The following is a 14,163-nucleotide window of genomic DNA, read 5'->3' as shown; positions in this document are numbered from 1 at the left end:
GCTGAGATCGCATCACTGCACTCTAGCCTGGGCAACAGAGCGAGACTCTGTCTCAAAAAAAAAAAAAAAAAAAGGGCTAGTTTCACTTGCTGATGGTGTGGGCCATGGGGGTGAGAGGGCAGCCTTGGAGTGAGGGTGTTATCTTGTGGATAACAAGACTGTGAAGGGCTCCCGGCCAAGGGTGAGAGGGCCCAGGGCAGGTTCGTAAGGCAAGTCACTCCCGCTTTCTCCATCCAGAACTTCCCAGGAGTTTCCAGTGACCAGAGCACATCATCCTGGGAAACCTGACCGTGGAGCTCAGTGGCAAAAAAAAAAACTCATGTGAAGTCTCCTACTATGTCTTAAAAATTGGTCAGGCAGCCGGGCGCGGTGGCTCCCGCCTATAATCCCAGCACTTTGGGAGGCCAAGGCAGGCGGATCACCTGAGGTCAGGAGCTCAAGACCAGCCTGGCCAACATGGTGAAACCCCGTTTCTACTAAAAATACAAAAATTAGCCAGGCATGGTGGCAGGGGCCTGTAATCCCAGCTACTTGGAAGGCTGAGGCAGGAGAATCGCTTGAACCCGGGAGGCAGAGGTTGCAGTGAGCCGAGATCGCGCCACTGCACTCTAGCCTGGGCAACAGAGTGAGGCTCTGTCTCACAATAAAAAACAAACACACAAAAAATTGGTCAGGCGTGGTGGCTCATGCCTGCAATCCCAGCACTGTGGGAGGCCAGGGCAGGCAGATCACTTGAATGTCCAGGAGTCTGAGACCAGCCCAGGCAACATGGTGAAACCCCATCTCTACAAAAAGTACAGAAATTAGCTGGGTGTGGTGGTACATGCCTGTAGCCTCAGCTACTGAGGGGGCTGAGGTAGGAGGATCGCTTAAGTCCAGGAGGTGGAGGCTACAGTGAACTGAGATCATGCTGCTGCACTCTGGCCTGGGTGAGAGAGCAAGATCCTTCTCAATTAAAAAATAATAATAATTAAAAAAAAAAAACTGAAGTAGAGCTAGGCACAGCAGCTCAAGCCTGTAATCCCAGCGCTTCTAGAGGCTGAGGCAGGAGGCTCACTTGAGCCAAAAGTTTAAGACCAGCCTCGGCACCACACTGAGACCCCCATCTCTACAAAAAAAGTTTTTTAATTAGCCAGGTGTGGCATGGTGGCACACACCTGTAGTCCCAGCTACTCGTGAGACTGAGATGGGAGGATCACTCGAACCCAGGAGTTGGAGGCTGCAGTGAGCTACGATTGCACTACTGCACTCCAGTCTGGGTAACAGAGCAAGACGCTGTCTCCAAAAAAAAAAAAAAATTAAGTAGATTTTGCATTCTGCTGTCTTCTCCCTATTATGTCTTTGTTGTTTTTTTTTCAATTTAAGAGTATTTTAAAATCATATTTGTTCATCATAACTGTCTCCTGAGAGCCAGGTTTCCGCCTTGTCTTCCCATGGCTCCACCCTCACTGCGCCTTCCTACAGCACAAATATGGCACAGCTGCAGAGAGTGCTCTGGCCACCCCCACACAGCAGATACTTTGGAAAGTGACTTGTTTTGACCATTCTTTCAAGCTAACAAACAGGTTGTTCTGATGCTGAGCTACACTTAAAAAACAACAAAAAAAGGGGGGGCAGTGGGAAAACGAGAGCCTGTCTGGCTGCTCCTTACGGCGGACAAGCAGTGAAAAGGTACTGGCTTTTCTGAGTGCCCTTCCCAACCCTTCCACCCTCAGCAGGCAGAAGGTGCTGGAGCACCGGGCCAGGAACACTCACAAGGGGGCACTTTTTTCTGTGCTTCAAGCTCCAGATGCCAGAACGCGGTTTCCTTCCTACCTGTAGAAAGGTTTAGGCAATCCCCAACTCCAGGGATCAAGAAATAGCAGCCTTCTCCCAAGACTCACTTTTCCCAATTTTTGTGTTTTGTTCAGTGGTAGATCCCCAGCACATGGTGGGCTCTGGAAGCATGTTAAGACATGAATGCATTCCTTCGAGGTGCCTTATCGTCAATGGACAACCATAAAACACTTCAGAGGAGACCACATAACCACCAGAAAGAACGAAATAACTGCCAGTGCTGCCATTTGGCCACACCCTAAACGTGGCTGGAATGTAAGTCTACACATCTGGGGGCACAAGCTTTGGAAAAGCAGTCAAGAGGGCGCCTGCCATAGGGCCTGAAAGGAGATCCGAGGCATAGCTCAGAGTCCTCCCATATTTATTTCTGCTCACTCGATACGCACCTCTCCCTTGTCAACCTGGTACAACATGTTTATTTAAGAGATAATGTTGCGGTGGAGGAGTGCACAAGGCAATAAACAGCTTTTGCAGGCAATTAAATGCAGAAGTGAAATTGAGCTGCTGGTCAGCGGAACCAGCCATTCATTGTGAGTTTGTTCCAGTGTCACAAATGTTATTCCTGTTTCACAACAGGACAGGAATCTATGATTGGGCCACAAATCTCCTACACAGGCTGAGGCAGACCAGAAGCAATTAAAAGCAGCTCTCAGCAGGCAGGGCATTTACACAAAAGAGCCTTAAGATTCTGGAATGCCGAGCTAGGAGACTGCTCTATTTTTTAAGGAGGTTTGGCACTTAGTAGGTGCTCAGTAATTATTCGTGGCTTGCTTGTTTTTATAGGGAGGCTTGCAGGAAGTCTCAACTGTACAATAAAAATTCGAAACCCTTTCTACTCATCTCTAAGAATTCCTTCTAGCTTTAAAAAGTTATGACGATCTCCACTAGAGTCAGTTTTTTTTTTCTAGGAATCAAAAAGGAGTTGTTGGTTTTAATACAAATTGTTTTCTTGTTTCTTTTTTAAAATATTGATTTTTTTTGAAGAAAGATTTGAATCTTTCTTGATTCTGATATAAATCAGAAAGGAGTTATCCTACAGGATACAAAAATCAACATACAAAAATTAGTTAGCATTTCTATACATGACTAGTGAACCATCTGAAAAAGAAATCAAGAAAACAATCCCATTTACAATAGTTAAAAAAATACATGTAATCAAAGAGGTGAAAGATTTCTTTACTGAAAACTATAAAACACTGATGAGAGAAACCGAAGACAGATAAATGAAAAGATATTCCATGTTCATGGGCTGTAAGAATTAATATGGCTAAAATGTCCACACTACCCAAATTTGTATCACAATCTAAAAAGAAAAAGAGAGTTTACATCCTACTAGGCAGGATAGCTAATAAAAAGATGACTCCATCTGGTTAAGTTAGGAGGAGAGTCCGGCCTTAGCAACACAGTCAAGAAAGTAGTTGAAGACCCAACCTCACATTCTGGCCTCAAGGTTGAGCCATTTTCACACCAAGAAAATCAGTCAGGAGAGAACAGCACAGGTGCTCTCCAAGTGCAGCGGTGGGGCACCTTCTACAAAGAAGACAGAAAAGCAGGGCAGCAACCAAAGAAGAGCCCCCGACTCTGCCCTCTCCTAGGAAGCTGCCACCAAGAGGGGCAAGGCATTGTCCAAAGAGCAGAGTGAGAGAGCCTTCCAGGAACAGCAGAAAAAGCGAAGTGAGGAAAAGACTGCCATCCAGATCTCTGTTCCTGACACTTCTGCTACCTCTCTGGGCCAGGCACGGTGACTCATGCCTGTAATCCCAGCACTTTGGGAGGCCGAGTGGGCGGATCACTTGAGGCCAGGAGTTTGAGAACAGCCTGGACAACATGGTGAAACCCCATGTCCACTAAAAATACAAAAATTAGCCGGGCGTGGTGGCACATGCCTGTAATCCCAGCTACTTGGGAGGCTGAGGCACAGGAATCACTTGAACCTGGGAGGTGGAGGTTGCAGTGAGCCAAGATCACGCCACTGCACGCCAGCCTGAATGACAGAGTGAGGCCCTGTCTCAAAAAAAGAAAAACAACAATAACAAAAGAAAAAAGAAAAACGACTCTGGTTAAAAAGTGAGCCATCCAGTTTCTCTCCCTTCAACATTAGCTAAAGGTATTATTTGTAGATTTTTACTATTTAATTTTAATACTTCTTTATAACATCTATGTCTTAACGCATTTTGCACCATTATCATTTTTACCTATACTTTATGTTTTCTATTTCCTAAGGGCATCAAATTCTTCCCCAAAGATACAGAAATCAATCCATACACATTCATACTTGGTCCATATTCGCATGTCAGTCTTTTGATAATAGTTAACATATGTATTTTTATACCCTATCTTGCTACAAAGGGGATCTGAGGTAGCTAACGAAAATACATATGAACAAACAGTCAAGAACTCAATAGATTTTTTAGGCCGGGCGCGGTGGCTCTCAGGAGACAGTTATAATGAACAAACATGATTTTAAAACATTCTTAAATTGGAAAAAACCAACAACGACATAATAGGGAGAAGATAGTAGAATGCAAAATCTACTTAATTTTGTTTTTTTTTTTTGGAGACAGTGTCTTGCTCTGTTACCCAGGCTGGAGTCCAGTAGTGTAATCATAGCTCACTGCAGCCTCCAACTCCCGGGCTCCCATCTCAGTCTCAGTTCCACAGATCATTGCATTTCCTTTATACGTATATTACCTCTCAATTCCAATATCAATGTGCTTTAAAAGCTCCCTTCAAAAATAGTATGATTCCCTCACGCCTGTAATCCCAGCACTTTGGGAGCCCGAGGCTGGTGGATCACGAGGTCAGGAGATTGAGACCATCCTGGCTAACATGGTGAAACACCATCTCTGCTAAAAATACAGAAAAAAAAATAGCCACGCGTGATGGCACGTGCCTGTAGTCCCAGCTACTCAGTAGGCTGAGGCAGGAGAATCACTTGAACCCAGGAGGCAGAGGTTGCAGTGAGCCGAGATGGCGCCACTGCACCCCAGCCTGGGCGACAGAGCGAGAATCTGTCTCAAAAATAATAATAATAATAATAATAATAATAATAATAATATGATTCCAAAAATAAAACGTATGAAGAACTTAAGAAAATTTGTAGCTCAGGGGATTAAAATTGACATTTTAATATGCCCAAGAAGTCAGATCCCTGAGGGTAGCAAAAGATCCCAAAAGTGGAATGACTTCAATTTTATCAACCTAATGACTTCAATTTTAACAACATTTTAATACCTGAAAAAGGCAGACGCAAAATGGAACAGAATGGGTCAGAGGAAAATTTCAATTCACATTTTCTTGAAGTGGGCTTAGAAAAGTCAATTCTTTTTTTCTTTTGAGACAGAGTCTCACTCTGTCGCCCAGGCTGGAGTACAATGGCGCGATCTCTGCTCACTGCAACCTCCACCTCCCGGGTTCAGACGATTCTTCTGCCTCAGCCTTCTGAGTAGCTGGAATTACAGGCGTGCGCCACCATGCCCAGTTAATTTTTGTATTTTTAGTAGAGACAGGGTTTCACCATGATGGCCACGCAGGTCTTGAACTCCTGACCTCGTGATCCACCCGCCTCGGCCTCCCAAAGTGCTAGGAATACAGGCATGAGCCACCGCACCTGGCCTAAATAATGCTTAAAAAGTCAACCTCACAGAATCAGAGAACAGTGGTTGCCGGGAGCTCGAGGTGGAGGAAATAAAGGGATGTTGGATTAGCGAGGAGTGGTGGTGCGTGCCTATAATCCCAGCTACTCAGGAGGCTGAGGCAGGAGAATCACTTGAACCCAGGAGGTGGAGGTTGCAGTGAGCCAAGATCGCACCAGCCTGGGCGACAGAGTGAGACTCTGTCTCAGGAAAAAAAAAAAAAAAAAAGAAAAGACAAGAAAAAAAAAATCTCAGTTTAAAATGTTCTTACTCCTTCAACAGAACCAAGATACTAATGGTTGACAAATATCTACTGGTCAATCAAAGCATTTATATACAACAAGGGAAATAAAATTCATTGAGCTGGAAAAAAAAAAAGATGTTGGGCAAAGGGTAAAAAGTTTCAATTACGGCTGGGAGTGGTGGCTCATGCCTGTAATCCCAGCACTTTGGGAGGCTGAGGTGGGCCAATCACAAGGGCAAGAGATACAGACCATCGTGGCCACCATGGTGAAACCCCGTCTCTACTAAAAATACAAAAATTAGCTGGGCTTGGTGGCGCGTGCCTGTAGTCCCAGCTACTCGGGAGGCTGAGGCAGGAGAATGGCTTGAACCCGGGAGGCAGAGGTTGCAGTGAGCCGAGATCGCGCCACTGTACTCCAGCTGGGTGACAGAGCAAGACTCCCTCTCAAAAAAAAAAAAAAAAAAAAAAGTTTCAGTTATAAGATGAGTAAATTCTGGGAATCTAACATACAGCATGGTGACTGTACTTAATAATATACTGTACACCTGAAAAATGCTAATAGAGTAGATCTTAAGTGTTATCAACCACACACATAAAAATGGTAACTATGTGAGGTGATTAATGTGTTTGTTAATTAGCTTAATTGTGGCAATCATTGTGCAAGGTACACATATATCAAATCATCACATTGTACATCTTAAATATATACAACTTTTTTTACCCATGATACGTCAATAAAGCTGGGAAAGTGAAAAAGAGGGTCAAACACTTGCACTGAACTCCCAAATATATATGTGGCATTGCGTTGAATCAAATCCCCACTGAGGAAGCCTGAGCATGGCAAATGCATCCAGAATGAGAACAGTTCTTGCAGAATCCTAATGTCTTTCACTTGGAAGAGGGCTTGGAGGTGTTGAGTCTAACTTTTCACCTACATATTCCCACAACATACCTCTGTACAAGGTAATCTAGCCTCTGAATGCTTTTGATGCCTTCAATCTGCTGCTAACAAACGGGCATGATGAAAATGGTTGCAACTGAGGAAGCAGAACAGCCCTAGATAAACGCTCCCTTCTCTAATAAAGTAAAATGCTTTGTTTTACTCCAAATATCAAATGCCCTTGATTGCATGCTATTTTAAAAATACATACTTGGGGCCGGACACGGTGGCTCATGCCTGTTATCCCAGCACTTTGGGAGGCCGAGGCGGGCGGATCACCTGAGGTCAGGAGTTCAAGACCAGCCTGGTCAACATGGTGAAACCCCATCTCTACTAAAAATACAAAAATTAGCCGGGTGGGGTGGTAGGCGCCTGTAATCCCAGCTACTTCACAGGCTGAGGTGAAAAGAAGCACTTGAACCCAGGAGGCAGAAGTTGCAGTGAGCTGAGATCCTACCACTGCACTCCAGCCTGGGCAACAGAGCGAGACTCTGTCTCAAAAACCAAACCAAAACAAACAAACAAACAAAAAAAAAAACAAACTTGGAGAATGAAAGACTGACCTCTATTCCTAGCGAAAAATGCACCCAGGTTGGGTCCAGCTCAACAGTGACCGAATTCCTTTTCTTACCTTTCTTCCATACAGATTATGACCTGTTTCCTTCCCAAGGTGCAAATTCATCACGCAGATTACTGCCACCCAGAAGGCTTTACCCAGCATTTTCTAAGGTGCCCAACGAAAGTGGGGACAAAGCTGGAGGAGGTGGTACCTCATTCAGTACTTGTGATCTGCCTGTGCCCAACTGGTTATTTATGCAACATTCAAAAAATGAGAAAAGTAAAATTTGAAAAAGAAAACAAGTTTGTACATTATTTCTTTCCAATTCCTTGCAGCCAACCTTTGAGGCTAAAGGGCATTATTGACAGAGTAAAAAATTCCTTACACATTTTGCATATTGTGCCTACATGTGTGCAAAATGGCACACACACATATGTGTGTGTACCTGTGTGTGTCACCTGTGTGTGCCTCTGGGCGCACAAGTGCGTGTGTGCCTCTGTGTGTATGTGCATGTGTGTGCACATGCATGTGGCTTTCACACAACCAGTTCACTCTCTGGGTAATTAATATCATACCTGCCACTGGTTTCCTGTCTGACCAGGCACATAAGGTCCGGGGAGGCCCCGAAGGCTGTTCTTCACAGGGGATCCCCCGAGGGGATTTCCCACCTCCCCAGAAGCAGAATCAGCAGCCAAGGCCATGGAGTACTGCGGGCAGTTGTATAGATTGTTGTAATAAGGAAACAGAGACGGCTGGTAGAAGCTGCTGTAGTAGGTGGAGTCTGAAACCAGGTCAGGTGTGTTCTCCACATGCCCTCTGCTGGTGACAGCAGGAATATCCTGGATGACCATACGTCCCTCTAAATTGGAAGAAAAAAGAAAAATACAACATGGTATTAATGTTAGTCCACGAAACTTTACTTCTAAACCTTCCTACCCAAGACCTGCGGAGCAAGGTAGCTGAATATGCAGAAGACAAAACCATCTGTTGCTTCTCCTATAGCCAAAATAAGGGAGAGTTTCTAAGGTTCGCTTCACTCTGGTGGCACAACCGAAAGACTCAGCTGATTGTTTTTACTGAGAGTATCAAAACCATTTTAGAGGTGATTTTAATTACATAAAGCCCAACAGCACAACTTCTATCCAGAAATTCCTATCCTAATGTCAAGAAACTGAAGAGCAAATCTAGTTGACCTGATTGTGCATTCTTAAAACAAAATTAATTGTAGCCACATAGATAGGTTAGAAAGTCAAAACGAGTGGCCAAGAGTTTAGGTGAATTTAGGTGAACACCTGTTTCCTTAACTTCCTTCCACAGGTGATCAGGTATCTTCAGAAATCTGGCCAAAGGTGCGGACCAGGGGCAAACTTCTAGTGTAAGAGGTCAGTAACTATTTCAGGTTTTGTCAACTATTCAATCACTGCTGCAGCATGCTTGTGTTGCAATAAAACTTTATTTATAAAAACAGGCAGTGGGCTGATCTAACCCAAAGACTAGTTTCCCAACCTCTGGCACAGACATTAAAGTGTTTATTGTCAATTCCAATAAATGAATTCCTAAGTCATCCATCCAATGGACATTTATTAAACAATGTTCTAAGAGCCAGTCCGGGTGCCTGAAACGTCTGCCAGCTGCCGTGCCCACAGGGAGTCTACGGTCTAGGATAGAAGATGGGAAGGGAATACCACCTACCACCTACCATCATACAGGAAGACCCATAAACTTCCATGGGAAGTCAGAGGAAACAGAGATGGCTTGTAGCCTAGTTAGAAATTCATGGACAAAACTGCACCTGAGTTGCACTTAAAAAAAGATGCAGGACACAGGTGAAAAATGAGAAAAGGAGAGGAAGGAGAAAGGAGCAGCAAGGACAAAGGAGTGGAAGCAGGAAAGTGGGGGTAGAGTTTGGAATGATGGGCAGGGAAGTGAGGCTGAGGAACTGGATGAGAAAAGGGAAGGAGACATGTAGTATGAAAGATGGGCTAGGGTAAGGTGAGGCGGGCCTCAGTCCAGCTCTCCTGACTCTGGGATGTAATGGGAACCACTGAGTTCTGAGCAAGGAGGTTACACGGTCAGAGCTGTGCTTGGAGGAGATTTATCTAAGGGCAACTGCTTAGGGCAAGTGAAGGAGAGAGAGATCAGAGGCAGAAAGACCTGCTAGGGAACCACCAAAGTGAGTTCAAGGACAGACCAGAACTCTAAGGCCTGCAAATGTAAGAGAGGAGCCTGTTCCAGGGACATGTGGGGGATGAAACGCAACAGAACTGGAGGGCTGAGGGGCTGCCAGGAATTAAGATGCAGGGGAGGCAGAGAGCAGGAGCCTGGGTGTGTAGAGCAGAGGGTGGGCAGGTGTGCAGGTGGAGGGCTGGGTGAGGGTGAGGAACATGAAACGCGTGCTTTTGGGAGAGGCTGAGACTGGAAGCCAGATCCAAGAGTCACCACTGGAGGTGCTAGCTCCATCTGGGCAAGGAAGGGAGGAGCTGTTACAGAATAAAGGAGAGCCAAGACCTGGAGCGTGAAAAACAGAGAATACAACGTCACAGAGGTTAAAGCTGACTTGAATCACAGAGCAAGCAGGCTGTGGTGTCAACTGCTGCTGGGACATCAAGCAAACAGTTCTAGAAAAGACCAACAGACAACTAGGTCTTCAGGGCCTTGCGGTTTTAACCATGATGAAAGGAGCAGATGCAGGCCTGCAAGAGAGCAAGGAGCAACAAGCAACAAGAAATCCAAAGAGATGACTCCAGTGAATGGCCTCTCTCCTACCAGGACTACCAGGACGTGAGATCCAGCAAGAAGGCACCCAGCCTCCGGGCACACCACTGTGTCCTCCGTGCTTAGCACACTGCCAGACACAGTGGGTCAATATTTGCTGAAGGGACTGAGGAATAATCATTTTTCAAGTAGCTTGGCATCAAAAATAATGTGAGTTAAAAGTAAAAGCTCCAGCCAGGCACGGTGGCCCACGCCTGTAATCCCAGCACTTTGGGAGGCCGAGGCAGGTGATTCACGAGGTCAGGAGATCAAGACTATCCTGGCTAACACGGTGAAACCCTGTCTCTACTAAAAATACCAAAAAAAAAAAAAAATTAGCCAGGCGTGGTGGCGTATGCTTGCAGTCCCAGCTACTTGGGAGGCTGAGGCAGGAGAATCGCTTGAACCTGGGAGACAGAGGTTGGAGTGAGACGATATTGGGCCACTGCACTCCAGCCTGGGCGACAGAGCAAGACTCCGTCTGGGAGAAAAAAAAAAAAAAGTAAAACCTCCAGGGAGTCATAAGATCTTGTCGTTTCACTTTTATTTTGTTTATTTACTTATTTGAGACAGGGTCTCACTCTGTCGCCCAGGCTGGAGTGCAGTGGTACGATCTCGGCTCACTGCAACTTCCTCCTTCTGGGCTCAAGCGATCCTCCCACCTCAGCAGCCCAAGTAATTGGGAATACAGGCGCAAGCCACCATGCCTGGCTGATTTTTGTATTTTTTTTAAGTAGAGACGGGGTTTCACCATGTTGGCCAGGCTGATCTCGAACTCCTGAGCTCAAGCAATCTGAATTTTAATAAGCTCTTAGCTTTTTTTTTTTTTAATTTTTTTGTATAGAGATGGGGTCTCACTATGTTGCCCAGGCTGGTCTCAAACTCCTGAGCTCCAGCAATCAAACCACCTTGTCCTCCCAAAGTGCTACGATTACAGGCATGAGCCACTACACCTGGCCTTGTTTCACTTTTCTAAAAAGGTTTAAGGCTGAGCGCGGTGGCTCACGCCTGTAATCCCAGTACTTTGGGAGGCTGAGGTAGGTCTGATCATTTGAGGTCAGGAGTTCGAGACCAGCCTGACCAACATGGTGAAACCCCGTCTCCACTAAAAAAAAAATACAAAAAAAAATTAGCCGGACATCGGCATGGTGGTGCGTACCTGTAGACCCAGCTACTGCAGAGGATGAGGCAGGAGAATTGCTTGAACCTGGGAGGCCGAGGTTGCAGTGAGCAGAGATCGCGTCACTGCACTCCAGCCTGGGTGACAGAATGAGACTCTGTCTCAAATAAAAAAATAAAAATAAAGAAATAAATAGAGGTTTAAGTGTCCTTAAGCAGACAGAATTGGCTCATGAGAGAAATTTCCAGCACAATGCATGGCCCAAAGAAGGTGCCCAGAAACCATCCACTGGCTGAGTGTGTGGGAAAACAAAAACATGCAAGGGAGAGGGCAAAACTAAAGTGCAAGCTCTGGAAGGTCTGGCTGAGATCTACAACAAAATTTATTTTTGAAGCCTCATTTTAAAGTCAGCATTGGTGTCACTTTTCTCTGAAAGGAAACCAAATCCACCTATGCTAGGCTCCTGTAAATGCACTCCCAAACCACTGTTTTATTCTATTCCTTTCCTTTCTTCTCTCCTCTTCCCAGCTAATGAGATGAGACATTCCAATGCCATTATTCCACACCCCCAAGTCTGGAGAGGGCACATGTCCATTCGCTCCTCCTCAACTTCCCCACTGGGCCTTTCTCTTATTTTAAACATCAGTTTGGGCCGGGTGCGGTGGCTCACGCCTGTAATCCCAGCACTTTGGGAGGCTGAGGCGGGCGGCCTGAGATCTCAGCTCAGTCGGCCTGAGCCAAGATCACGCCACTGCACTCCAGCCTGGGTGACAGAGCAAGACTCCGGCTCAAAAAAAAAAAAAAAAAAAAACACGTTTGGTGGCGTTAAGTGGTGGTTTTCTATATCATTCTTTTGTTTTCAAGGTCATGTCTCTATTGTTTATCTGATTACAAAAGCCTTATGAGCTTCTCAAATTTAATAAATTATATGAGCATCTAAGTCAGAAAAAGAATAAATGACCTATCCTACCATGCAGTCATAAACATTAATGGTTCATTCCTATACAATCTCACAGACATTTAGGAAGGCATTTTAGACACTTAGGCCTGTCCCTGCATTAAAAACACTGAATACCTCCCACTTAAGGCCTGCCTTTCAAAAGCAAGCTTCTTAAAAAAGAAAACAAAATACAGTAGCAGACGAATAAATAGAAACCCAAGGATTCCAGCATTCCAGAATCAGGGCACAGCACAAGTTCTTGAATTTCTGCAGCATGACCTTAATCTGAACCTTTTATCAGGCCTCAGTTTATCAAGCAACAAAATAATGGCAGTAATAACTCTGAAGGTAACAAGAGAATGGCTTCAATAAACTGCATAGTAAACCTCAACTAAAATGCTACGTCAGGTCAAAGCAATAATTTGTTTTGTTACAGCTGACTGTAATTAGTTAACAACACCATCACTTTTCCACTTACCCGTATTTTATTTCCTCTTTCAAGTTATACCAAGCTTTAAGAATAAATAGGAGATATGTATTGGAAAAGTTGTTCCATACCAATATTTAAATAATAAAACCATTTGAACTTTGGAAGAGCAGATGTCTGCCTTTACGCTGTTAAAATGTTTAACCACTTTAAAAAAGTTAGATTTGACAAAGTACTATGTGTATAAACCACCGAATTCTATATGTTAAAATTCCCAATTAAAATTCTCAGTCAGTGTTAAAAACAGCTTCATAACTCCTGGCATTTATATGAACACTGCTAGTACATGGAAAGGTTGAAATTAATATCTGTCAAGCTACATGTGTCTAATCCAATGGTTCGCACAGTGTGGTCCCTGAATCAGTAGCATCAGCATTACCTGGGAACGTAAAGAAATGCAAATTCTTGGGCCCCACCACAGACTGACAAAATCATACACCCCGAGAATGGCGCCCAGCAATCTGAATTTTACTAAGCTCTCCAGAAATTCTTTTTTTTTTTTTTTAATACAGATGGGGTCTCACCATGTTGCCTAGGCTGGTCTCAAACTCCTGGGCTCAAGATATCCTCCTGCCTTACCCTCCCAAAGTGCTGGGATTATAGGTGTGAGCCACTGCATCCAGCCCAGGAGATTCTGATGTGCTAAAACTGTTGAGACACACGGCTGTACTCTCAAAATTCAAAGCAACTGCTCCACACGCTATTCCTAAAAATATGAGATACCTTCATGCCCCTGACTGCATCGCTGTGACAGTCCTGACTATTAACAACTGCTCCACACGCTATTCCTAAAAATATGAGATACCTTCATGCCCCTGACTGCATCGCTGTGACAGTCCTGACTATTAAATAAAAGTATACAACAAATGAGGTCAGGCACAGTGGCTCCTGGCTATAATCCCAGCACTTTGGGAGGCCGAGGTACAAGGTTCACTTGAGCCCAGGAGTTCGAGACCAACCTGGGCAAACAAAACCCCTCTACAAAACATATAAAAATTGGCTGGGCATGGTGGTGCATGCCTGTAGTCCCAGCCACTAAGGGAGGCTGAGGAAGGAGAATCACTTTAGCCTGGGAGGCAGAGGGTGCAGTGAGCCGAGATCGCACCACTGCACTCCAGCCTGGGCAAAGGGGCAAGACTCTGTCTCAAAAGGAAAAAAAAAAAAAAAGAATTCCATTGTATTGAAAAGCTAGGCTTCTACCTAAATCACTCAGAGCTTAGATCCCAAGCTGTATGTACTGTGTGTGTATCGCTGCCAAATGGTTGTGAGTTTCATGGCTTACATCCAGACTTTCTTCATTTATTCTAACCACAGTAACTTAATTCATCTATTCAAATGCTTATTCCAGTTGACAAATATTTATTAAGCACCTACTATTTGTCAGGCATTCAGTTAGATACAAAACATTGCAGAGTCAAAATTTAATATTCTTCAGAAGACTTCTGGGTAATCCAGAGGAGCAGGTGTTACAAAAATCATTTATTCTTGACCTTAAGTTGTATTTTTATATTTAGATTTGATTCATTCACTAGTTATCATATAACAACTATGTTCAAAGCTTTCTTTAAATGTTGTCAAAGGCACAAAAACATACTTTAAACATTACATTTTTTCTTAAGAATTTGCCATCTATTTGGGGAAATTAGGT

At 44.4% G+C, this 14,163-nt stretch overlaps 1 protein-coding gene across 6 annotated transcripts in view, besides 1 other annotated feature; it reads right to left on the bottom strand.

The window, feature by feature from the left end:
• DMRT1 (doublesex and mab-3 related transcription factor 1) overlaps positions 1-14,163 on the bottom strand; it is a 127,394-nt gene that overhangs the window by 67,106 nt on the left and 46,125 nt on the right. For all 6 annotated transcript variants that reach the window (XM_006716732.2, NM_021951.3, XM_011517770.2 and 3 more), the window contains exon 3: positions 7,790-8,073. In XM_006716732.2, coding sequence (XP_006716795.1) covers positions 7,790-8,073 — 284 coding nt within the window. The remainder of the gene's footprint in view (positions 1-7,789; positions 8,074-14,163) is intronic.
• Positions 7,740-8,059: an enhancer, noted in NCBI's record as "active region_28121". NCBI's record gives its function as "activates an Ori minimal core promoter by ATAC-STARR-seq in GM12878 lymphoblastoid cells {active_cell/tissue: GM12878}" and the evidence as "EXISTENCE:reporter gene assay evidence [ECO:0000049][PMID:35858748]".

The sequence above is a fragment of the Homo sapiens genome, chromosome 9 (assembly GCF_000001405.40).
Source record: "Homo sapiens chromosome 9, GRCh38.p14 Primary Assembly".
NCBI lineage: Eukaryota > Metazoa > Chordata > Mammalia > Primates > Hominidae > Homo > Homo sapiens.
This window is presented reverse-complemented; position numbering and strand designations above follow the sequence as displayed.